General features: G+C 39.1%; 1 protein-coding gene across 47 annotated transcripts in view; it reads right to left on the reverse strand.

Annotated features, from left to right (window-relative positions):
- Positions 1 to 27,120, reverse strand: part of TRIM37 (tripartite motif containing 37) — a 139,680-nt gene that overhangs the window by 39,178 nt on the left and 73,382 nt on the right. For 37 of the 47 annotated variants that reach the window (NR_148347.2, NR_148346.2, XM_047436110.1 and 34 more), the window contains 5 exons: positions 25,518 to 25,712; positions 22,037 to 22,345; positions 10,918 to 11,046; positions 9,232 to 9,421; positions 5,950 to 6,068 (listed from right to left, as the gene is read on the reverse strand). Coding sequence is in view for 45 of the 47 variants with exons in the window: in XM_047436110.1 (XP_047292066.1) it covers positions 5,950 to 6,068; positions 9,232 to 9,421; positions 10,918 to 11,046; positions 22,037 to 22,345; positions 25,518 to 25,712 (942 nt within the window). In the remaining 2 variants the exon portion in view is untranslated. The remainder of the gene's footprint in view (positions 1 to 5,949; positions 6,069 to 9,231; positions 9,422 to 10,917; positions 11,047 to 22,036; positions 22,346 to 25,517; positions 25,713 to 27,120) is intronic. The other 10 variants (XM_047436122.1, XM_047436123.1, XM_047436116.1 and 7 more) reach the window with 1 other exon arrangement.

The raw sequence follows: 27,120 nt of genomic DNA on the forward strand, positions 1-27,120 counted from the left end.
AAAGCTAACTTGAGTTATAACTCCCTTAAATCAAGTTGCTCGAATTTCAGATGCTATGGAAAATACATTAACCACCTGGTACAGATGACACTTTATATTCTAGTCACCAACAATTTATCTGCCTTTCTCCTTTCGAAGAGGACCCTGATATTGTTCAGGTATTTTCCCTTACCACATATCCATGTGGAACGAGTTGGTGAGGGAGACCAACTAACTGGACTTGGCTGGCTGGGTGCGCGGTGGCTCATGCCTATAATCCCAGCACTTTGGGTGGCCAAGGCAGGCAGATTGCCCGAGGTCAGGAGTTCGAGACCAGCCTGGCTAACATGGCAAAACCCCGTCTCTACTAAAAATACAAAAATTAGCCGGGCATGGCAGCAGATGCCTGTAATCCCAGCTACTTGGGAGGCTGAGGCAGGAGAATCGCTTGAACCTGGGAGGTGGAGGTAACAGTGAGTCAAGATTGCACCACTGCACTCCAGCCTGGGCGACAGAGCAACACTCTGTCTCCAAAAAATAAATAAATAAATAAATAAATAACTGGACTTGGCCACTTTCCTTGACAGTGGCTGACGAGATAGAAGAGGAAGTTGTTGAGGTGCTTAGAGAAAGGTTGTTGCTGGAGATATATAGAATAAATCAATCCTCTTCCACTCCCAGAATGCTGTTCTGACTCTGATGTCTAGAACTGCAGCAAACATCTTACCGCCCTGAGAAGAGCTAAGCCTCTCACTCAGAATAGCAGGGCAAAAGATAAAACAACCCCACCCCCACCCTCCAACACACACACACACACACACACACACACACACACACACACACACACACTAAAACCACCCCACCCCCACCCACCCACACACACACACACGTTCCTGATGACACTGAGCAGCTGAATTTTCTAATCCTGAAAACTGCTCTACCACAGGTGTACCTTCTTATTGAGAGATTTGTTAATGTAAAAGAGTTAATTTTCCTTTTTGTTCAAGTCAGTTAATTTTTCGATGAATTTTGTTAAAGGCATCTTAATAATTACCCTAAATGATCAGCAATGGCAGGCCATCAGGCTTTGTATTCCTCTTAAAGAGGCCACCAGCAAGGTTTTTAACAGGCATGCCAAGGCTTTTCCCCAGATGGTGTTTTGAGTACCCCTGATTTAACTGAAGGGGGTATGTGCTACTTCAGCAAGAAGTCAGAGAGCAAAGCCTTTAGTTTTACAAAGAACAAGAAATAAACTGGCCTACCTACAGTTGTGCAGGTCATCAATTGAAAGAAAAAATAAGTCAACCTTTTCAGCATCAGATCATTAAACCAGCGACTAATACAACCAAAGGTTGTCCCATATGGTTCCAGTAAAAAGGAAAAGGCCTATTTATGTTCATATCTAAGAAAAAAGTTATTTTTAAACTGATGCTTAAGAGCAATTAAGAGACACTTTAGTAGTCCCAAATTCCCAGCCAGTACCACAAACAACGCCTTAAAGTCCTCCAGACAACCTTCTCTTTGAGAAAGAGAGAGAACCCCACAGTGATATGACACCGAATGTCTTCTTTTTGTATTCAGCTAAAATAAAGAGTCTTGTTTTTCCTAAGCATGGATACAAGACAAATCCATTCAACTGTCTACTAAGGCTTATAGGTATATAAGGGTTTCCTGAGAACTTGCTCTTGCTGATGATAGAATAATACTGGCAACAGTGAGCAAGGCCGCACTCTCCTCGAGAAACAAAGCTGATTACAGGAGGCACAGGGCTTCCTTTGTCTCCTGTACTACCTTCTCTCAGCCTCATCAGTTAGTCTCCTTCTCACAGTCTATCCTGGGACTCTGGAGGTAAACAAGCTGTTCAGATACCAACAAATTACAAGGGTGTACTTCTGTGTCCCTGTTGATTTGCACATTCACAGCAATTTTTCTTATTGAGTTCTAGGTGCTATTTATAGCACAACACCCCACATATAAAGATAAAATGTGTTACTGAATAACACTGACCATTTAACTCTAAATCCTACATGAATAACTCCATTCTTTCAAAGACTTGGAAAATGTACCGATCTTCACTATGGCCAAGCAAATGCCTTTCTTCAGTTTAGGACAAGCTGTCAATTAGCTTTAAATAAGAAATGAAACTGGTGTCAAAAAGTTCCAGTGTTTTCTGTGCTGACCAGCCATTTTATATATAAAAATTAGTGCTGAGATAATGTAAATTGATAAATTGGAGGCTGAAATTAAGTCCAAATCGGGCGGCCGGGTGTGGTGGCTCATGTCTGTAACCCAGCACTTTGGGAAGCTGAGGCAGAAGGATCATTTGAGCCCAGGAGTTTAAGACCAGTCTGAGCATACAGCAAGACCAAGTCTCTATAAAAAATTAAAAATAAAGAAGTCCAAATCATTTCACCTAACCATGCTTCTTACCAATTTTCCTGCCTCTAGTTCCACATATGCTATTCCCACCCCCAAATCCATTCTCCAGAATGCAGCTAGAGTAGAAATGTTAAAGTGTCACTTCTAACTTAGATCCTATTCAAATGACAAAGTTCAAATTCTAGCTGGGACATTCCACGTAACTCTTCATGATCTGGCCTCTGGTCTGTCTCCCTTCTGGCCTTTCACCAGTCTTCATCTGGCTAACTCCTACTCATCCCTTAGGATGATCTTTCCAAGGGTGGATTAGGGACTAGGTTAGCAGAGAGAGGCGACAGTTAAGAGCACTGGCTCTAGGTTCAAATTCTAGCTCTTCCAAGTTCTTTTTTTTCTTTTCTTCTTTTTTTTGAGACAGAGTCTCGCTCTGTCACCCAGGCTGGAGTGCAATGGCCACAATCTCAGCTCATTGCAACCTCTGCCTCCTTGGTTCAAGTGATTCTCCTGCCTCAGCCTCTCGAGTAGCTGGGATTATAGGAGTGTGCCACCATGCCTGGCTGATTTTTCTATTTTTAGTAGAGATGGGGTTTCACCATGTTGGCCAGGCTGGTCTCAAACTCCTGACCTCAGGTGATCTGCCCACCTCGGCCTTCCCAAAGTGCTGGGATTACAGGCATTAGCCAACATGCCCAACCTTCCAATTTCTTTTCTTTTTTTTTTTTTTTTTTTGAGACGAAGTTTCACTCTTGTTGCCCAGGCTGGAGCGCAATGGTGCGATCTCAGCTCACTGTAACCTCCGCCTCCCGGGTTCAAGCGATTCTCCTGCCTCAGCCTCCCAAGTAGATGGGATTACAGGTGCCCGCCACCACACTCAGCTAATTTTTGTATATTTAGTAAAGATGGGGTTTCACCATGTTGACCAGGCTGGTCTTGAACTTCTGAACTCAGGTGATCCACCCTCCTTGGCCTCCCAAAGTGTTGGGACTACAGGCATGAGCCACTGCGCCCGGCCCTGGCCTTCCAATTTCTAACCCTGTGACTTTGGGTAAGGTAAATTACATCTCCAGGCCTCAGCTTACTCACCTGTAAAACTAGGTTAACAAAAGCAACTACCATGTAGAGTTATTCTGAGAATAACAGAATACTGGTAAAGTCTTTAACACAGTAAGAACTTAGTATTACTATTATTTTTATTACGTATCTCATTTTTGAGCTGCCTATAAACCTTATCACAGCACTCATCGTCCTATATTACAACTGGCTATTAGTCTCCCCTGACACCTAACAATTGGTTTTCAACTGCTCTCCTTGCCGCCCTCCTACCAATACCACCACACATACCTAGCATACCTGAGAGCTACAACTTATTTCTATTAATAACTGTGGCCCACTCTGGCAAGTGATTCTCAAGGAGTGGTCACCTCTGGTTGAGAATTATTTAGTTCAACTATTGGTTCTTGACTGGGGATGATTTTGCCTCCCAGGAAACATGTGGCAATGACTAGAGACATTTTTGGTTGTTGTAACCGGAGGGAAACACTACTGGTATCTAGTGGTTAACAGCTGAGGATGCTGCTAAACATTCCACAGTGCAGAGAACAGTCCCTGTAAAATAAAGAATTATGTGGCCTAAATGGCAATGGTGCAAAGGTGGAGAAAGTCTGAACTAGATAGTAAGTTCAGGAATTTTATCACTGGCATCAAATGCAACATCCGGTAAATTAGAAGCATTTCATAAATGTTGCATGAAAAAAATGAGCTTGTTATTACTGTCATTTGAGATAGAGTCTCACTCTGTCGTCCAGGCTGGAGTGCAGTGGCGTGATCTCAGCTCACTGCAACCTCTGCCTCCCAGTTCAAGCAATTCTCCTGCCTCAGCCTCCCAAGTAGCTGGGATTACAGGTGTCTGCTACCACATCTGGCTAATATTTCTATATTTAGTAGAGATGAGGTGTCACTATGTTTGCCAGGCTGGTCTCGAACTCCTGACTTCAAGTGATCCGCCTGCCTCAGCCTCCCAAAGTACTGGGATTACAGGCATGAGCCACTGCGCTTGGTGGAAGAAAAATGAGCTTGTAATTCCAGCATATTCTGTAGTAATTTAAGCTACTACAATCCAGTATGTATGGAGACACATAGAAAGTAACTATTCCCCGGCCGGCCTTGGTGGCTCACGCCTGTAATCCTAGCACTTTGGGAGGCTGAGGCGAGTGGTTCACGAGGTCAGGAGTTCAAGACCAGCCTGGCCAACACAGTGAAATCCCGTCTCTTACTAAAAATACAAAAATTAGCCAGGTGTGTTGGCAAGCGCCTGTAATCCCAGCTATGCAGAGGCTGAGGCAGGAGAATCGCTTGAACCCGGGAGTTGGAGGCTGCAGTGAGCCAAGACTGTGCCACTGCACTCCAGACTGGGCAACAGAGCTAGACTCCGTCTCGGGGAAAAAAAAAAAACAACAGAAAAAGAAAGTATTCCCCACAGGCCCATTCTATAAAGATCTTCAATCATAATATTTCTTTCTTGATGTTTTAACAATAAACACATCATTTACAAAAATCTTTTCTATTTAATCTCTTCTACTGAAATAATGCTGCCCATCACAGAAGCACCAATTAAGAAAACCAAAATATTTAGTGTTCTTTAACTGAGAAACCTGAAAATGCCACCACCTACACACCCTCTTCTTAGGGCAGCTGAGTAGATGCTGGCACCTGTATGTATGCTTTGAGCTACAATTCATCAATCATTGAAATTCAAATGAGTGCAGAGGTGGAAGGTGGTGGAGTTTCACTAAGAAATGAAAAAATTACAAGGCCAAATATCATTAAGAGAGTTGACATTCTTTTCTACCAATTTATAAAGGACACAGCAAGGGCAATACACATAGCCTTGTTCTAAGCACCTCTGTTGCCCCAAATTGCAAAATGTCTTCTATGCTTTTAGATAAACAATAATGAACTTGGAAGAACATGCAAAAGAAACACTAGAAAGTACAGCTGAGAACAAGCTGAAGTCAGTCATCATACAGGATTTAAAAAATGGTCAAAACTTGGAATGCTTCTTTAAGAAGAATAAAGCAATCTACAGACACTAATTAAGACTGACTTTAAAAAATACTTAACATTTACTATTCTAATTAGTTGTTCTAGGGCATATCTTCCCCATTAGATTGTGAACATATCTAATTCAACTTTGTATTAATAAATCTAGCAAAAATTCGATGCCTGGTATGTAGGTGCCTTAACATATTTATTGACCGAACAGATGAACTATATGCAGATTTTTTCCCCATACAAATGCCTGTTCTAGTAAGGCCTGTCCTTTTATATAGTAACTTACCCATTTTGCCTTCCTCTGTATTTGGTATCTTAGCAAATCAAATTCAGTGGCACAAGGAATGTTGTGTTCAGATCAAGCATGTCGAATAGCAGATCTCAGTAACATTTCCATTAAACCAACCACTCCCTATCCCTATCACTACCACCAGCAGCAGCAGCACCACCACCACCACCACCACCACCACCACCCACCACCCACCACCAAAAAAGGGACAGAATTCTCATTTCCTGCTTACTTATAAGTTTATCATTCCTTACCTTCTTCAGGGGCAGCTGAAGCTCCTTCAGGTAGTACAGGCTGTAACTCTCCAGTTTCAGAATTATTTTCCAAATCAGTCATCTGCAGTCCTTCCAGATGACCTCCTTTAGCATTAGCCCTCAAAGAAGAAAACAACTTGATATTTCTCTATAACTAGTGACACAATAATCTATATTTTCTTTTTGAACTGAGCACCAAACTAAGTAGGGTACGTGCTCTGGTGCTTAATACTAAATTTCAAATTTTATCTGAAAATATTTCACTAAGGTCCTGGCACAGTGGCTTATGCCTGTAATCCCAGCACTTTGGGAGGCCAAGGTGGGTGGATCACCTGAGGTAGGAGTTCAAGACCAGCCTGGCCAAGATGGTGAAACCCCATCTCCACTAAAAATACAAAAATTAGCCAGATATGGTGGTGGGCGCCTGTAATCCCAGCTACTCGGGAGGCTGAGGCAGAGAATTTCTTGAACCCGGGACGTGGAGGTTGCAGTGAGCCGAGGTTGCACCATTGCACTCCAGCCTGGGCAACAGAGTGAGACTCTGTCTCAAAAAAAAAAAAAATTTTTTTTTCACTAAATATTCACAAAAAAATGTTATGAAATGGTGGATTACATCAATGTTGGTATCCTGGTTGTGATATTGTACTACAGTTTTGCAAAATGTTATCATTAGGGGAGAAAAATACACAGGATCTCTCTGCATTATTTCTTACAACTGAATGTGAACCTATAATTAGCTCAATAAAATTTTAACTTATAAATACCAATAGAAGTTTTAAATAATATGTTCTAATAGGGAAAGACTTTTGAGATATATTATTATTGCTATTATTTGAGATAGAGTCTCACTCTGTCACCCAGGCTAGAGTGCAGTGATGTGATCTCAGCTCACTGCAACCGCTGCCTCCTGGGCTCAAGCGATTCTCCTGCCTCAGCCTCCCAAGTAGCTGGGATTACAGGTGTCCAGCACCACGCCCGGCAATTTTTGTACTTTGTTTTTAGTAGAGACAGTGTTTCACCATGATGGCCAGGCTGGCTCGAACTCCTGATCTCAAGTGATCTGCCCACCTCAGCTTCCCAAAGTGCTGGGGTTACAGGTGTGAGCCACCGTGCCTGGCCTGAGAGATATTATTGAATGAGAAAATAAAGTACATCTTCTGTATTAAAAAAGCTACATAGTCACAGTTCCTTAAATATACACAAAAACTGAGAAGACACAGCACACATGAAAAATTAATAACAGCATGAATATGTGTGGGCAGGGGGTTGGAAAACTAGGTCATGGGAGTTAAGGATGGGAAATTTTTCACTTATTCTTTTCTCCTTTCATTTTGAAACACTTATCATTAGTATTTAATATTTATTTTTATTTAAAAAATAAACAGAGGCAAGGTCTTGCTATGTTGCCTAGGGTGTTCTCAAACTCCTGGGCTCAGGCCATCTTCCCACCTCAGCCTCCAAAAGTGCTGGGATTACAGGTGTGTGCCACTGTGCCCAGCCTTTCATTAGTATTTAAACTTTTTGCTTACACTACTTTAAATCAGGCAGGAAAAAAAAAGACATGAGCTGGACAGCACCTACATGAACCAGGCTGGCAGATAAAATCAACTGCAAAATGAGGATCAAGCTGCACACACTTGCACAGGATTTTACACTCTAGAAAAAAAAAAACTAAGTTCATGTATATTTAATTGTGGTGACTAAAGGCAGATAAAAATATCTCCATAGCAAATAAAATATAAGAGCTAGTTGCACTTTAATTTGAAGAAATGTATAAAACATCAGGTTAGGTAGTACGTAGGGAAGACAAGATAATCTCCAGTGATTTTAACACCTTTCTACTACTGAAACTTGAGCCAGAAAGCTAAACCACCAGCTGATCTTGTAGTTTTGGTAATGAGCCAGACCTTGACTATATAAAATTAAGTAAACTTAAAGGGTGTTAATCTTTCTCCAATTTAGGTAAAATTCTTTTCAGGGTCTCCAAAATAGAACTATTTCATTGTTTAAATTTAGAAATAGGTTTAATATCCATAAAATAGATAAGCAGATGGATATTAATGGCTAATCATCTGCCACATCCATAGCCAATATCCATAATCACTCTATCTTTTGAATAGATGGAAGTTTAATTGCCATGCCGGGGATTTGAGTTTATGTCTCCTAGGGGAGAGATAAACGTGTTAACTACTATATATCTTTTTGGGAAATTCCAACTATAAGTTTTGAGGATACTTTGATAACAGGAGAGAAGAAAGATGAGATAAAAGCAGAAAAGCAGTGTTAAAGTTGCTGTAAGTGCTTTGTTTCATACAAAATATATATAAATGCCTGTGACACATAATATAGCCCAACACTAACATCTTTGACAAGTGTAGGATAGACTGAAAAAAAAAAAAAAGGCTGACCGCCCCCCTACCGCCAACACATACAAATTTACAAGGCAGAGTTCAGATAAGGTTACGTATCATTGTGAAAATGAGCTCTAACATATTTAAACTAAACTTCCGGTACTATTTCATCCCATTAAAAAAAGTACTATCTCTTGAGACCATGGTGAAACCCCATCTCTACTAAAAATACCAAAAAAAAAAAAAAATCAGCTGGGCGTGGTGGTGGGCGCCTGTAGTCCTGGCTACTTGGAGAGGCTGAGGTAGGAGAATGGCATGAACCTGGGAGGCGGAGCGTGCAGTGAGCTGAGATCATGCCACTGCACTCCAGCCTGGGCAACAGAGCGAGACTCCATCTCAAAAAAAAAAAAAGTACTATCTCATCCCATTAAAAAAAAAAAAGTAAAATCTCTGATACTTTAAAAAAGTTAAAATTTAGGCCAGGTGCAGTGGCTCACGCCTGTAATCCCAACACTCTGGGAGGCTGAGGTGGGCGTATCACTTGAGGTCTCAGGAGTTCAAGACCAGCCTGGCCAACATGGCAAAACCTCGTCTCTACTAAAAATACAAAAATTAGCAGGGTGTGGTGGCGGGCACCTGTAATCCCAGCTACTTGGGAGGCTGAGGCAGGAGAATCACTTAAACCGGGGAGGCAGAGGTTGCAGAGAGCTGAGATCACGCCACTGCACTCCAGCCTGGGTGACAGAGCGAGGCTCTGTTAAAAAAAATAAAAAAAATTAAAAAAGTTAAAATTTAGTGCAATAAATGTATTTTCTGTCCACTAAAAAATTAACAAGGTAGAAATTAATTTGTTCATCATGATGCATACTTAAAGTTCCAAACAAAGCTATTAGCTATTATACCATTACATATACAAAACAACTTAATTTACCCCAAGGTGACCATTTTCCTCCTTTTCTCAACCGCAGGCAAGCCACTGAAAACTGCAACCACAACAGCATCTGAATCCAAAGCTTTACACTGCCGGTCTTCAGTTTTTGGCAGAATATCACCGATACTGCCATGTATCAAGGCTCGGGGAGAACTGTGCCTGCTCCCAGACTGAGAGCTTCCTGGGGAGCCTTCAAAAAAAGGAAGATGGAATACAAAAATTAGCTGGGCATGGTGGTGTGCGCCTGTAATCCCAGCTACTTGGGAGGTTGAAACACAAGGATCACTTGAACCTGGGAGGCGGAGGTTGCAGTGAGCTGAGATTGTGCTACACTCCAGCCTGGACAACAGAGCAAGACTCTGTCTCCAAAAAATAAAATAAAATAAAATAAAAGGAGGGATAATCAGAAAAAAGGCAAATAAACATGAAAGGTCTCTCTCAGTTACATTAGAAAATCTCACTATATATATCATTTTAAAACTACATAAAAACTTCAAAAATAGGCCAGGTGTGGTGGCTCATGCCTGTAATCCTGGCACTCTGGGAGGCTAAGGCGGATGGATCACCTGAGGTCAGGAGTTCAAGACCAGCCTGGCCAATGTGGTGAAACCCCATCTCTACTACAAATACAAAAATTAGCCAGGCGTGGTGGCGTGCACTTGTAGTCCCAGTTACTCAGGAGACTGAGGCAGGAGAATCACTTGAACACGGCGGGCGGAGGTTGCGGTGAGCCGAGATCGCACCATTGCACTCCAGCCTGGGCAACTAGAGGAAAAAACTCCATCTCAAAAAAAAAAAAAAAAAAACTTCAAAAATAATTTTGAAACATATCCCTTGTTTTTTATGCCAAGCATCTAAAATTAAGGAGTCCAGGCCAAGTGTTGTGGCTCACACCTGTAATTTTACACTTTGGGAGGCTGAGACAGGAAGATTGTTTGAGCCCAAAAGTTCAAGACCAGCCTGGACAATGTAGCAAAACCCTGTCTCGGCAAAAAAAAAAAAAAAAAAAAAAAAAAAAAAAGCCAGGTATGGCTGCATGTGTCTGTGTCTGTGGTCCCAGCTACTTGGGAGGCTGAGGTGGAAGGATCACTTTTGTCTGGGAGGTCAAGGCTACAGTGAGCTATGATTGCACCACTGCATCCCTAGCCTGGAAAACAGAGCAAGACTCTGTCTCAGGAAAACAACAAAAATAAAGAATAAATAAAATTAAGGTGTTTAGAATACATAGTCTAATGGCTGTATTTTGTTAAGGGTCTGTTCTGTTGAGATCAAGAAACTTTCCAGCCAGGTGTGGTGGGGCTCATTCCTGTAATCCGAGCACTTTGGGAGGTTGAGGCAGGCGGATTGCTTGAGCTCAGGAGTTTAAGACCAGCCTGGGCAACCTGTCTCTACAAAAAATACAAAAATTAGCTAGGCGTAGTGGTGCACACCTGTAGTCCCAGCTACTTGGTGGGGCTGAGGCAGGAGGATCTCTTAAACCACCGGTCGAGGCCACGGTGAGCCAAGATCGCACCACTGCACTCCAGCCTGGGTGACAAAGTGAGACCCTGTTTCAAAAAAAGAAACTTTCAAATCCAACTTTAGCATTTTTGGTGCCCTTCAAGATCTAAAGCTCCACGATAACATCAATTTCAGGTAATAAATATTTACCCCACTAAAAGTACATTCTGAATCCCTCAAATTTACCTTCAGACAGAGTCTGACAGTCTCCCTTTGAACGACTATTTTCTCCAGGGTCCACTGCTCTTCGAAGTGATAGACTACCTGCTACACTGGATCGAGCTGGCTTGGGCGAATTACTCTTCTTATTTGTGGCTGCAAAGACATTTAAGAACACCTCTGAATAGGCTACTACAGCACAAAACTCACTATTTAGTCTGTCAGAAAAAGTTTTAATCTTACCTTGCATGGAAGCTGTTCTCTCTACTGTCTAAAAATAAACAACATTCTGTAGCCCCAATTGGTTTAGACTTTTGTCATAAAACATTCCCATCTTGTTGCTTGTAGAGCAGAATCTTTTTTTTTTTTCCCCCAGATGGAGTCTTGCTCTTGTTGCCCAGGCTGGAGTGCAATGGAGCGATCTTGGCTCACTACAACCTCCACCTCCTGGGTTCAAGCAATTCTCCTGCCTCAGCCTCCCGAGTAGCTCAGATTACAGGCACTCGCCACCATGCCCAGCTAATTTTTGTATTTTTAGTAGAGACGGGGTTTTGTCATGTTGGCCAGGCTGGGTCTCGAACACCTGAACTCAGGTGATCCACCTGCCGCGGCCTCCCAAAATGCTGGGATTACAGGCATGGGCCACCGCACACCGCCCGTAAAATCTTAACTTAAAAGATTATCTGTGAGCTCCTTAAGAAAAATCATACAAATTTCAATGCAGTTAAACTATTAACAAATATATAACCCGTCAAACATTTGGAAATTATAAAGTATTATTGGATTAAAAAGAAAAATCAATGCTGAGTTAGAAACAAATTACAATTATGGTACTTGAAATCAAAATGTCTGTGGCCAAACCAGTAGTGAAAAGAAAATGTACGGCCTTAAAATGAATTAATTAGGGAAAAAAGGGACTATATGACCTAATATGCATAGATTCAAAAGCTAGGAAGACAATAAAAATAAGCAAGCAAGAATGCTATTGCCAGAAGGCAGGGCCCTGCCCTTGAATTCAGCCTGCAGAACTGTGAGTTAAATAAATCTCTTTTAAAAATACATTTTAAAAAAAGAATAAAAATAAAATTGTAAAAAACAATAAAAATAAAAAATTCATTAATAGGTAATAAACAGGTTTAGCATGGTTGCAGGATATAAGACAAAATAACTTATTGTATTTCTCTGCACTAGCAGACAATGTGAGAATGAAGTTAAGAAAACAATTTCATTTTTAATAGCATAAAATACAATTAAAATACTTAGGAATTTATTTAACAAAAGAAATGTGAGACTTGTCCACTGAAAACTACCACACATTCTTGAAAGAAAATAGAGACAACAGCAAAGACATCCTGTGTTCATCACTGATTAGAATACTTAATACTGTTAACAAAGCAATATTCTTAAAATTGATCTACCGATTCAACACAATTTCTAAAATAATAGTAGCTGTGTTTTTTTTTTTTTGCAGAAATTGACAAGCTAATCCTAAAATCCATTTGAAAATGTAAGAGACCCACAATACCCAAAACAATCTTAAATGGAACACTCACTTCTGATTTCAAAAGTTACTATAACTAAGTAATCAAGACTATGTGGTACTGCCATATACACATATATATCATCAAAACAGAATTGAGAGTCTAGAAACAAACCCTTATATTTATGGTCCACTGATTTTTGACAAGGATGCCAAGACAATGCAATGGGCAAGGAAAAAAAGAGGGACAATAAGTGTTGCCAACGGTATGGAAAACCTGGAGCCCTCATATACTGCTGCTGGGAATATAAAATGATGCAGCTACTTTGGAAAATAGTCTGGCACTGGTAGTTCCTCAAAAAGTTAAACACAGTTGCCATGTAACCCATTAATTCCACTTCTAAGCATATACTCAAACAAAACCATATGTCCAAACAAAAACTTGTACATGAACGTTCATAGCAGCACTACTGATAATAGCCAAAAAGTAAAAACAACCCAAATATCCATCAACTAATGAGTGGATAAACAGTATGTAGTACAGCCATACAATAAAATATCATGCAGACATAAAAAGGAATATATGCCACAACATGAATGAACCTTGAAAGGGCTGTGTTAAGTGAAATAAGCCAGACATAGAAGACCTCATATGGTATGAGTCTATATAAAAAGTCCAGGCTGGGCGCAGTGGCTCACATCTGTAATCCCAGCACTTTGGGAGGCTGAGGTGGGTGGCGCATGAGGTCAAGAGATTGAGACCAACCTGGCCAACATGGTGAAACCTCGTCTCTACTAAAAATACAAAAGTTAGCTGGGCATGGTGGCGCACACCTGTAGTCCCAGCTACTTGGGAGGCTGAGGCAGGAGAATGGCGTGAACCCGGGAAGCGGAGCTTGCAGTGAGCCGAGATTGTGCCACTACGCTCCAGCCTGGGTAACAGGGAGAGACTCCGTCTCAAAAAAAAAAAAGTCCAGAAGAAGAAAAATCCATAGGGAAAAAGTAGATTAGTGGTTACCAGAAGATAGTAGAAGGGGAAGATGGGGAACGACTTTTAATGGGTTTGGAGTTCTAGGGAGAGGGTTAATGAAAATGTTCTTAGACTTAGATAAATGTTCTAGACTTACGAAAAATGATGACCAATTTCTCCACTAAAAGGATAAATGAATTATTGGTTAAGGAAAAAAGAATGCATTAACAGTCTGGGTGCGGTGGCTCATGCCAGTAATCCCAGCACTTCAGGAGGCCAAAGTGGGTGGATTACCTGAGGTCAGGAGTTCGAGACCAGCCTGGCCAGCATGGTGAAACCCCATCTCTACTAAAAATACAAAAATTAGCCCGGTGTGGTGGCACACACCTGTAATCCCAGCTACTCAGGAGGCTGAGGTAGGAGAAGTGCTTGAGCCCAAGAGACGGAGGTTGCAGTGAGCCAAGATCACGCCACTGCACTCCAGCCTGGTGGACAGAGCGAGACTCTGTCTCAAAAAAAAAAAAAAAAAAAAAAAAAAAAAAGCATTAACAAAGACAAAAGCAGAAATATAATGAAATGGTAAAAGACAATGGATGAAATAAATCTAAGAACTTGGTCTTTGAGGAGATGAACAAAATTAGCAAATCCCTTGAGCAGGTCAAATCAAAGGAGAAAAAAAAACAGAAGTAAGCAATAAAATAAGTGAAAAAGAAGTTAACAACCCATATGCACAAGAAGTTTTAAAAATTTAAGAAAATAGAATAAATGACTGTATATCAATAAATTTAAAGACCCAAATATAATTAGTTTTTCTTGGAAAACTATAGTAACTGACTTAAGTAGCAGCAGAAGTATGAGAAAACTACATCTGACAAGAGATTAATGACCAGGATCTCAAACAACTCTATAGGAAAAAATTCAATAATCTGATTAAAAATGGGTAAAAATCTGAATAGATATTTCTTAAAAGACGACACACAAATAGCAAACAGGCATATGAAAAAGTGCTCAACATCACTGATCATCAGAGAAATGCAAATCAAAACTACAATAAGATACCATCTCATCCCAGTTAAAATGGCTTTTATCCAAAACACAGGCAATAACAAATGCTGGTGAAGATGTAGAGAAAAGGCAACTCTCATACACCATTGGTGGGAATGTAAGTTAGTAAAACCACTACGGAAAACAGTTTGGAGGTTCCTCAGAAAAACTAAAAATAGATCTACCATATGATCCAGCAATCCCACTGCTGGTTATATACCCAAAAGAAAGCAAATTAGTATGTCAAAGAGGTATCTGCATTCCCATGTTTACTACAGCATTATTCACAATAACCATGGTTTGGAAGCAACCTAAGATCCACAGACAAATGGATAAAGAAAATGTTAGGTTGGGCGTGGTAGCTCACGCCCGTAATCTCAGCACTTTGTAAGCCCGACTCAAGTGGATCATTTGAGGTCAGGAGTTTGAGACCAGCCTGACCAACAAGGTGAAACCCCATCTCTACTAAAAAATACAAAAAAATTAGCTGGGCGTGGTGGCGCATGCCTGTAGTCGCAGCTAGCTGGGAGGCCGAGGCAGGAGAATGACTTGAATCCAGGAGGCAGAGGTTGCAGTGAGCCGAGATTGCACCACTGCACTCCAGCCTGGGCAACAGAGTGAGACTCTATCTCAAAAAACAAAAAAAAAATGTGGTACATATACACATGGAATACTATTCAGCCATAAAAAAGGAATGAGATCCTGTCATTTGCAACAACATGGGTGGAACTGGAGATCGTTATGTTAAGTGAAATACATCAGGCACAGAAAGACAAACTTCACACATTCTCACTTATTTGTGGGGGCTAAAAATTAAAACAACTGAACTCAAGATAATACAGCAATGGTTACCAGAGGCTAGGGAGTGTAGTGGGTGGCTGGGGGGATGGTTAATGGGTACAAAAATATAGTTAGATAGAATGAATAAGATCTAGTATTCGTTAGTACAACAGTGACTACAGTCTACAATAATTTATTGTACTTCTGAAAATAACTAAAAGAGTACAATTGGATTGTTTTAACACAAAGGATAAATGCTTGAGATGATGGATACTCCATTTACCCTGATGTGATTATTATGCATTGTAAGCGTGTATCAAAATATCTCATATATCCTATAAATATATATACCTACAATGTACCCACAAAAATTAAAAATTAAAAAAATTAAAAATATGAGGAAACCAACAAATCCAACAGAAATTAAAAAGGCTGTTAAAGTTCTAACTCTGAGTTACTATACTAGTTTTATGAATGCTTTTTATTAGACATAAAGTTTAATACAGCATAGGAGCAAATAACATATAGTTAAAATAATTTTATAGCATAGAAAAGGACAAAAACATCTGAATTTAATCTGTAAAACAAGCACAGAATTAGAACTAAAGTGGGTTAAGGATAGTGTAATGAAATAGATCGATTTCACTTATGACTATGTAGTCAAGGATCCTAAGTAAAATATTAGCAAACTGAATACAGCAGTGTTTTTTTAAAAAAAGTATAGGCCCAAACTAAATAGGATGCATTCCAGTATTTCCAGAATGGTCAACATTAGAAAAATAATATAATTTACTTTATGATAACAAAGTAATGGAACAAAATAGTAAATCATTTTGACAAATGTCAAAACATCATTTGATATAATTCTACACAGCTTCAGTTTAAAAAGAAAAGAAATTCTCGTAGTAAGAAAAGAGGCAGTTTGGTATTAGGGTGAAGGGCATAGGCTCTGAAGTTCAAGTTTTTGGCTTTGCCAATTACCAATGTGAAACTAGCAACATTATTCAATGCCTGCTGCCTTGGTTTCCTCATCTGTAAATCTGGAATGAAATTGACTTACCTTACCTCTTAGACTTCTTGTTAAGATTAAGTGAGTCAATGCATGTGACTTAGAATAGTTAGAATAATGTCTGGCACACAGTTAACACTTAGTAAATGTTAGCCATTATTGGTATTGTTGTTACTAAACAGGTTTAGTAACCTTTAGTTACTAAATTTCTTTAGTAAGAAATACAGATGTACAATAAAAATATGAAAAGATATTCGGCCTCACCTGCTATTCAAGGAAATGGTATATTAAACCAAATGGTATATTAAAACCAAAAGTACAGCTTTTTGGGTGAACTTTCTCAAAAAGCCTTTGTTACATATTTTGCAGATACAGTTGACGCTTGAACAGCACAGGCTTGTTGTACTGTACAGGTCCACTTAATATTCGAATTTTTTTCAACCAGAGAAAGATTGAATATATTACTATACTATACTATAGAATCTATTACTATAAATAGAAGGATGTACCTTTTAACTTTTTTATTTATTTATTTATTTATTTTTGAGACAGTCTCACTTGTCACCTAGGCTGGAGTGTGGTGGCGCAATCTTGGCTCACTGCAACCTCCACCTCCTGGGTTCAAGCGATTCTAGTGGCTTGGCCTCCTGAGTAGCTGGGATTACAGGCATATGCCATCATGCCCAGGTAATTTTTTTGTATTTTTAGTAGACATGGGGTTTCTCCATGTTGGCCAGGCTGGTCTCGAACTCCTGGCCTCAAGTAATCTGCACGACTTGGCCTCCCAAAGTGCTGGGATTACAGGCGTGAGCCATTGCACACAGCTTTTTTAACTTGATAGAAACAGGCCTGTAATCTTTGGGAGGCCAAGACAGGCAGATCACGAGGTCAGGAGATCAAGACCATCCTGGCTAACATGGTGAAACCCCGTCTCTACTAAAAAATACAAAAAAATTAGCCAGGCGTGGTGGCAGGCACCTGTAGTCCCAGCTACTCGGGAGGCTGAGGCTGGAGAATAGCATGAACCCAGGAGGCGGAGCTTGCAGTAAGCCGAGATAGAGCTACTGTACCCTAGCCTGGGTGACAGAGCAAGACTCTGTCTCAAAAAAAAGAAACACAAAAACAAAAAAGTACCTATTGAAACATACAGCAAACCTCAAATTTAATGAGAAAAAAACTAAAGGAATTCCTAAATAAAGTTGAAAAATTATAAAAATCCTACCACTGTTACTAAGAAACTGTTGAGGTACCTGCCTAGACAATGCAATACAAAAAGTAAGCAGAAAATGAATAAACAAATTATGATTATCTGCTGATGATATAAATACTTAGAAAATCAAAATAACTAATTGAAAAACTGTTAATAAAACAAATTCACCAGGCCAGGTGTGGTGGCTCACGCTTGTAATCCCAGCACTTTGGGAGGCCGAGGTGGGTGGATCACCTGAGGTCAGGAGTTCAAGACCAGCCTGACGAATATGATGAAACCCCGTCTCTACTAAAAATACAAAAACTAGCCGGGCGTGGTGGCATGTGCCTCTAATCCCAGCTACTTGGGAGGCTGACAAAGAAGAATCACTTGAACCCAGGAGGGGGAGGTTGCAGTGAGCCGAGATCGCCCCATCGCACTCCAGGCTGGGCAACAAGAGTGAAATTCCGTATCAAAAAAAAAAAAAAAAAAAAAAAAATTGCCACATTGGTTGAATACAGAATAAACATAAAAATCAATATTTTTGTCTTTTATGTCAGTAACAATTAGAAAATACTATCAGAGAAAAAGAGATTCCACTCACAACAGCTACCTAAGATATAATACATTGAGAAATGAATTTAACAAGACATATATAGAACTTATATGGAAAAAACTGAGAGTTCTAAAAAAGGATATGAATATAACAGATGACCTGAATAAATGGAGAGAAGTACCACATTCCTAGACATGAATGTTTGATGCTGAAAAGATCTCAATTGCCCAAATTAGTCTCTCTTTTTTTAAGAGAGAGAGAGAGACTGTTGCCCAGATTGGAGTGCAGTGGCACGATCACGGCTCACTGCACCTCAAATTCCTGACCTCAAGTAATCCTCCCACCTCAGCCTCCCAAGTAGCTGGGGTTACAGGTACATACCACCATGACTGGCTTATCAAAAAAATTTATTTTTGTAGAGATTAAGGTCTTGCCATATGATGTTGAACTCCTGGGCTCAAGAAGCCATCCTCCCTCATCAGCATCCCAAAATGCTGGGATTAACAGGCAGGAGCCATGGTGCCCAGCACCCCTAAACTAGTCTTTAAATGTAAAGCAATTCCAGTCAAAATACTTTGGAGGAGGATTAAAAGTGCAAGAACCACCAATAACATTTTGAAAACCAAGAACAGAATAAACATATCCTATCATAGTATTACAAACTATAAAACTACAGTAGTTAAAAAAAGTGTTAGTCTGGTAGAGGACATGACAAATACTGGGTTAAACAATACCAAATTGCGTTTTTGTATGTCCAAAACTTGAGTACTGGCAATTTCAGTTGTTTCGACCTCTATGAGTTCAAAAACAGAACCATGTTTGGGAATCTGGTCTATAATAAAGGATGGATTTCATATTGCATCATATTTCAAAAAACATGTTTCATTCATTTGGGGAAAAACATCATTCCATTTACCTCACACAGCATCATATAAAATTAACTTTATATGAATTAATGACCTATATGTAAAAAAGTTAGAAAACAAAAAGTACCAGAAGAAATTAAGGGTTATTTTTATTAACCTGGGAGTTAAAAAGCCTTCCAAATAAAAATAAGACCCATGAATATTATTGCCATGAATATTATTATTAATTATAATATTATTAATATTCATGTCATGAATGTTAATTATATTATTAATATTCATGGATGAATATTATTAATACAGTTGTCTAAGATAAAATTTTAAAACTCTGTGATTAGCAGGAAAAAAAGGTGGCAATGGGGAAGAGACAGTTGTCCCTTGGTATATGTGGGGGTTGGTTCCAGGACCCCTGCGTATACTAAAATCCTCGACTGAAGTCCCACCGTAAGACCTGCAGAACCCACCTATACGAAAGTTGGCCCTCCTATATGCAGGTTTGGCATCACCCGAATACTGTATTTTCAATCTTTCTCTGGTTGAAAAAAATTCGAATATTAAGTGGACCTGTACAGTACAACAAGCCTGTGCTGTTCAAGGGTCAACTGTATCTGCAAAATATGTAACAAAGGCTTTTTGAGAAAGTCCACCCAAAAAGCTGTACTTTTGGTTTTAATATACCATTTGGTTTAATATACCATTTCCTTGAATAGCAGGTGAGGCCGAATATCTTTTCATATTTTTATTGTACATCTGTATTTCTTATGTTAATGGCCTATTCATAACCTTTATTCATTCTACTAAATTGTCTTCCTTATATTAAGAGAATTCTATATATTTTGCTATTATCTCCTCACCAACCCATCTTTATTGGATTATTCACATCACTATCAAACATTAATACAGCCAATTTTAATAAACAACACACACAAAGAGAACCCAGAAACAAACCCTCGTCTATATGGTCAAATGATTTCAACAATGGTGCTAAAACCATTCAATGAGGAAAGAAAAGTCTTTTCAACAAATAGTGCTGGGAAAACTGGATATCCATGGGCAAGCAAGTCAGACCCTTCCCTGACACCATAAACAAAATTTAATTCTTAATGGATGAAAGACTAAAAGTAAGACTAAAAGCAAGAACTAAAACTCTTGGAAGAAAACAGGAGAAAGCTTCATGACACTGGATTAGGCAATGTTTTCTTGGCTATGACACCAAAAGCACAGGGAACAAAAGGAAAAACACATAAAATGGGCTTCTTCAAATTAAAAACTTCAAATGTTAAATGACACAATCCACAGAGGGAAAAGGCAACCCACACACTGGGAGAAAACATCTGCAAATCATATATGTGATAAAAGATAAATATTTAAAATATATACAGAACTCCTAAAAGTCAACTACAAATAAACAACCCAACCCAATTTTAAAATGGATTTAATTCACAGATGAAAGACATTGGAGAGGACACAAAAAAGGACACCCCTGCCAACAAGAAACTATTGACCCCGCACCTCCTCCAGCTTCTACCCACTTCATTGTGAAACTTCTTTTAAAGAAGTTGTGCATTTGTGCTCTGGTCCCTGACCTCATTCACTCTTCTGCTACACTACTCCATGGGAATAGTTCTTAAAAAGGCCACTTGGCCTCTTGCCTTGACACTTCTCAGTGATACTTAACACACTTAACACAGGGGTAACCACTCTACTTCTTGAGATGCATTATTTTTGATTTTTGAGATATTATCCCTTCTAGTTTTTCTCCTACCTTAATGATTGCTCTTTCAATTTCCTTTGCTGGCCTCTCCTATTTATCAGATCTTTAAATGTTTAAGTGCCACAGAGTCAAAAATTTTGCTTCTCCATTGAAACTCCCTCCAAACTTGACCCTATTCAGTCTTCTGGATTTAAATAATATAAAATACTATTGACTCCCAACTGTTTATATCCAGCATTGACCTCTCTCTGAGTTTCAAAGTTGTGTACCATTCACGTGTCTATGACATTTTACTAGGATATCTAGCAGGTGTCTCAAATTAAACATGTTTAAAAAAGAATACCCAACTTTCTGCCCTTACCTCCTCCCAAGCCCCATAACCTGCTTCTTATCTGATTTGCTTCTCAATAAATGATACCACTGCCTATTAAGTTGCTTAGGCCAAAACTTAATCATAATTCTTAGTTTCTTTCTAAATAGAACTTTCCTAAAATTCTATTTAGGCTTTTTCAACTATGGTTCTGAGAAAGAACTCAGCCCTGCTGATCTAAGACTGGATTAACTTCCCTCCTATGCATCTAGAATAGAATAGCACATCCTTAAGAGAACTAAGAAAGATGGGAACCTCAGTCAAGAAAGGCTGCTAGACTGTGAACAAGCCCCTCTATCCATTATTGTAACTCCAGAAAATGCCATCATATTTCACACAAGATAATGTAATAGGCTGTTACTGGTCTCACAATTCCTGTCCTCAACCCTTTTCAGACCCTTCTCCACACAACAAGCAAAGTCATCTTTGTAAAGTGTAAATCAGATTATAAACACCCCTTATTTTTATTCTCTAGAGGCTTCCTCCTTACATCATAATAAAACTCGAACTCCTTTTTGAGGTTTTGCAAGACTCTCCCTGATCTAAATTCTGCCTACCTCTCTCTGACTTCGTCTCCTGCTAGTCTCCTCTCTCTGCTTTCTTTGCCATACTGGTCTTCCTTCAATCCTTCAAATACGCAAAATAAATCCTGTGTCAGTGACTTTGCAGTTTCTGTTCTGTTTACCCAGAACACTGCTTGCCCTAGATCTATAAATAGCTGCCACCTTCCTAAACTTCAGGTCTCAGGTCAAGTGCTGCCTCCTCACAGAGACTTTCTCTGACTACCCCAATAGAACATGTCTCATCTGCTCCTCCCATCCCACTCCTCGGTTGTTTCCTTCACAGCACCTTTTACCCACTGAAATGATCTTTACTTACTTGTCTACACTTTTTAATGTCTGATTCCCACTACTAGAATACAAGATCTATGATGTTAAGAATTTTGTCTTGTTTATTGCCAAATACAGAGTAAGCAATCAAGAAATGTTAGTTCTATTATATAGTAAAAATATACGGAATCAATTTTGGATGAAGAAAAAAGTCACATGTAATTTGTAGTCTTAACTCACTGGAAGAGTGGTATTTAAATATTATTCTTTTGAAAAAACCAGTCATCTAGTTTCCCAAATAACGTGTGGAGAAATGACACTGGGAACATATTACTTACAGTTTCGTATGTAACAATTGGCAACTGATGACTTTGCCAGGAGTTCCATTCCCAAATCCTGCAATCTGCCAGAGTTTTCAGTTCCACATGCAGCCAGAGCTGCCTGGTCAGCAGAAAAAAGGCTTGTCTGCATGTCTCCAGAAGCAGCACTGCTGCTTTTTATTTCTGAAAGTGTATTCTTTACATCAGTTTTCATACATCGAACTTCGGCCATTTGAGTTTTGAGTCTTTTTAGCATCTTTAAATCAGAGGGCACTCGCCACATTGCCTGTTGCTTCCTTTGGTCTTTATCTTTTCGAGAATATGATGCTTCAGAGAAATTGACAAGTCATGTTAACATAAACGTTAATATTAATGAAATCATTTGTACCATGAATATATGCAAATTTGATGTGTAAAATAAGCTAGCGTGCTTTACGTGGTATCAACAATAAAACATGCACTAAATTCCATTAATGAAAATAAAGATAAAGAATCCTACCTTATTCACACCTTCAGAGTTAGAATCTGAGTCACATCATACTCAAGTTCGAATTACACATTTAATTCTAAAAGTTTAAAAGCTGCCCTACTGCCTTGTGCTTTCTTCTTTAAACTTCTCCACTTTTCTGAAACTTTCTACAGAGCTTTTATTATGTTTATAATTGAAAAAAAAGACAAAGAAAAATCTAGAAACCAAATACTTTGTCAAATCTGCCATATATAACATTATATTAAAAATACATATTTCTGGCCAGGTGCAGTGGCTTATGCCTGTAATCCCAGCACTTCAGGAGGCTGAGGTGAGAGAATCGCTTGAGGCCAGAAGTTCAAGATCAGCCAGGGGAGCATAGTGACACCCTATCTGTACAAAAAAAAATTTTTTTATTAGAACTTCCATTTCTGATAATTTTCTCAGAACTGTCAGCTTTCTGAAATACGGTTTGAATCTAACCACTTCTAAAATAAAACAATAGCTCTCCATGCCTAGTATGAATAAATTCCTCCGGCTAGCATGCAAGTCCTTTCATAGAATGGACCCAACATGACTCTAGTTCTACTTACCACTATATGTACCTTAAAATCTGGTTCAACTAGATTACCTGATACCTTTTACAGTACTCCTTTACATGGTTAAGAACATGAAGTTAATCTGACAAATGTTCACTAAATATGTGTTAAATAAATACACAGAAAAAAATAAACATCAAAGCCCAAGCAGGCCACGTGCAGTGGCTCACGCCTATAATCCCAGCACACTTTGGGAGGCCGAGGCAGGTGGATCACTTGAGCTCAGGAGTTTTGAGACAAACCTGGCCAACATGGTGAAACCTGTCTCTACAAAAAATTGTAGAGCACTCCAGCCTGGGCAACAGAGTGAGACTCTGTCTCAAAAACAAACAAACAATCAATCAAACAAAAAATGACCCAAGCAAGCCTTTTCAATAAAAAGAAAGTCATATATTTCTGCACACTAGCTTTTATTAACATCCCTTCACTGAAAGGTATTTTCATTTGGCTTCCATGAGTATTTTTTCTCCTTTCTAAAAGCTCTTTATCTGGCTCATCTTCCTGACACTCAGTAAAAACAGATATTCATCAGGATTATGTTCCTGGCTCTCTTCTTTTAAAATATTCTTAAAACTCCTTTGCAATCTCACACCCTTGGTTTTAATTATCCAGTATCACCTCCAGAAAAATAACTGTCTGTATTCCAGTTCATTTTTTTTTTTCATGGAGTTTCACTCGTTGCCCAGGCTGGAGTGCAATGGCACGATCTCGGCTCACTGCAACCTCCGACTCCCAGGTTTAAGCCATTCTCCTGCCTCAGCTTCCCAGGTAGCTGGGATTACAGGCACCTGCCACAATGGCCGGCTAATTTTTTGTATTTTTAGTAGAGACAGGGTTTCACCATGTTGGCTAGGCTGGTCTCGAACTCCTGACCTCAGGTGATCCACCCGCCTCAGCCTCCCCAAGTGTTGAGATTACAGGCGTGAGCCACTGCGCCCAGCCCCAGTTCTTAATTTTTAGCTGTCTACTGGTCCTTTCTAATTTGATGTCACACTGTTATGCCCAACTCAAGATGTTTAAATCCAAAACTTGCTTTTTCTTTCTACTATTTTCCCCGCCCTCATTATTGCCAGCATTTTATCACCTAAATTTGAAATTCAGATCATCTCATTTGTATTGTTTTTACACAGAAAACTAGTTTTACACAGAAATCTTACTATTTAGTTTGCATTTTTCCCAATGATACTGATTATTTTCAAAAACACGATTTTACTTGTCTATAAAATATACCATTGCATGGTTACACTGTAATTTATTCAGCTATAACTGTATTGTTGAATATTTTTAAACATCTGCTTGTTTTCTCTTTGGAATATACTCCTCAAAGTGAAATTACAAGTTTAAAGGATATAGATATTTTTAAACTACTACAAAATTGTCCTTCAAAAAGGTTAAACCAACTTACATATCTACCTACAGAATCAGAACCTGTCTGTTTCACTGGGCCTTTGCAAACAACACTTAACATTTAAGTAAAACTTTATATAAAGCATACTTGGCGCACACATAAAAGGCAACTGTTTCATAACCTGAAGATAGTCTTTTAAGCTGAGGATCCAGACTTTCAGGAAGTATATCTGGCTCTTAGGAAAGAAGAAGCCTAAATAATCTGGGCTCCATGTCCCTACACCAGTAGAAGAGCTCTATTTCTCTGTTATTTACACAGAGGTTCTGCCTTGGACTTTGATTGAAAAATGAGTTATCTTGCCTTAAAACTACATCAAAATCAGAGTTCTAAATCATTGATTTGATGTATATAATACTATTGTTTAAGAAGGTAGAAAAATATTTGGCATATATTTTTGAATATACTGACTATACTTTAGAAAGCATTCCAACAAAAATGGTTTTTAAAATGTAGCTTTTAAAGGCAAATACTTAGTTGTCCAAAATGACTCTATCCCCGAGAGTTTAAAAAAGCCCATATTTGACTATACAAATCTCCATTTTATTATAGTAACACAAATGTAATTTCTATTTAACAAATAACCTTTGCACAGAAAACAGTGCTGCCAACTGGCATACATTTTTAAGCTACTGAACATCAAAGAATGAGTAAGTCACCTTTTTCTACGTTCAATTTAGATATAGTTCCACTTGGAAGTAAGGGAATTCATGAAGCCTGACCAAAAAAAGTCCATTCATAAAGAAGATAACCGTATTTCATATGGATCAAACTGTCAGGCAAAATCTGAGTAGCAAGTCACAAAAAACCTTCTTGCAGGCATTTTTACTTTGTTTTTGCACAAATCACCTTTGAACGGTAATTTAAAAACTAATTTGGTTGACATAAATGTCATTTTTATGGTATACAATGAAAAACACAGAAATACACCATGTTCCACACATAGCTGAAATACTTAAATGAAAATCCAAGAGTTCTTTTAGAGAACCACAGAAAAAAAGGAAATTATCATTGTTATTATTTTACCTGTGGGCTGCAGAAGTGAAGCAGGTGGGCGAGGCTGTAAGCCCCACAAATTTTCTATACTGCTCCGGTCCTTAAGGTCCAACAAATGTATTAAAATTAATGGATCAATGTCTAGTAAACTACTGGTAGCAGCGGAGCATAAATGTGTTCTTCTTGATATTCTACTACTGGAACCCACATAACCATGGCTACTACCTGCAAAAGAGGCGTAGAAAATGATATATATATGCACAAACTTAGCTATACTTAAATGAAAAAATGAACTGGTTAACATTATATGAATACTTGTCTATGGACCTATCTCTTAGGAGTTCAGGTTCATGATAAGAAGCAGAAAGAAGGAACCAGGGCCGGGCGCGGTGGCTCACGCCTGTAATCCCAGCACTTTGGGAGGCCGAGGCGGGTGGATCATGAGGTCAGGAGATCGAGACCATCCTGGCTAACAAGGTGAAACCCCGTCTCTACTAAAAATACAAAAAATTAGCCGGGCGCGGTGGCGGGCGCCTGTAGTCCCAGCTACTCGGGAGGCTGAGGCAGGAGAATGGCGTGAACCCGGGAAGCGGAGCTTGCAGTGAGCCGAGATTGCGCCACTGCAGTCCGCAGTCCGGCCTGGGCGACAGAGCGAGACTCCGTCTCAAAAAAAAAAAAAAAAAAAAAAGAAAGAAGGAACCAGACAGTTGTACATTAGCACAGTGATTGAGTGGTGGCCTCATTAGTACTTAGAATTCAGAAGCAAGCCTCAACCCCATCCTGAGCCCTAGAAAAAAACAGATGACAATGTGTACGATGTGCACAATTGGGGGGATGAGAGGTAAGGGTAAGGAGAAGGAGATTATATCCCATGACCACCTGGTTTTAGATAAAAGAAGACAAATTCCCATAGTATAACAGATTACAAAGAATTAGACACCAAAATAGAAATCTCCCCCAAGTCTCTGGACAGTAAAATGTATAGGTCATGACAGTTTGGTAGACTTTTTCTACTTTGATTAAATAATGGGGTACAATTTGAAGTTTTTGGACTGTCATGTTAATGACTGATGCACATTACAGACATCTGTAGGCAGATATTATGCCTATACCCCTATATTGGACTATGCTCTTTAAGCCAAGAAAAGCATCTGACTTTTCTCTAGCACCTAGTATAATGCATAACAAATACCAGATATGGAAATGTTGCTTAAAACTGACCTTCTTCAATAAAGCTGTTTAAATATATTTTAAAGAGATAGAACATTTTAAAACAATGCTACACGCAGGAAAGTAGATAATATAAAATATTAAAAAGTCAGGTTCCAACTACCCATGAGTATTTCAGAGAGATCCAGCAGGATATAACTTAGGAGGAAAGTTCCATTGTTCAGAAGCTTCAAGCCAATTAATAATTTATGCTTTTCACATCCTCATGTTCTCACTGTCTCCCACTTCTGCCTCCTCTTCTAAGGATTATTATCTCACTGACAGTTTTTCTTCCCAGCCTCTGTATTACTGCAATTCCTATTAAATAACAGAAAACGATTTCCCCTTCACATTGAAAACTGTTCTTTGTTGTGTTTTGAGACACAGTCTCACTGTTGCCCAGGCTGGAGTGCAGCGGCCCGAT

This window comes from Homo sapiens, chromosome 17, assembly GCF_000001405.40.
Source record: "Homo sapiens chromosome 17, GRCh38.p14 Primary Assembly".
Classification (NCBI taxonomy): Eukaryota; Metazoa; Chordata; class Mammalia; order Primates; family Hominidae; genus Homo; species Homo sapiens.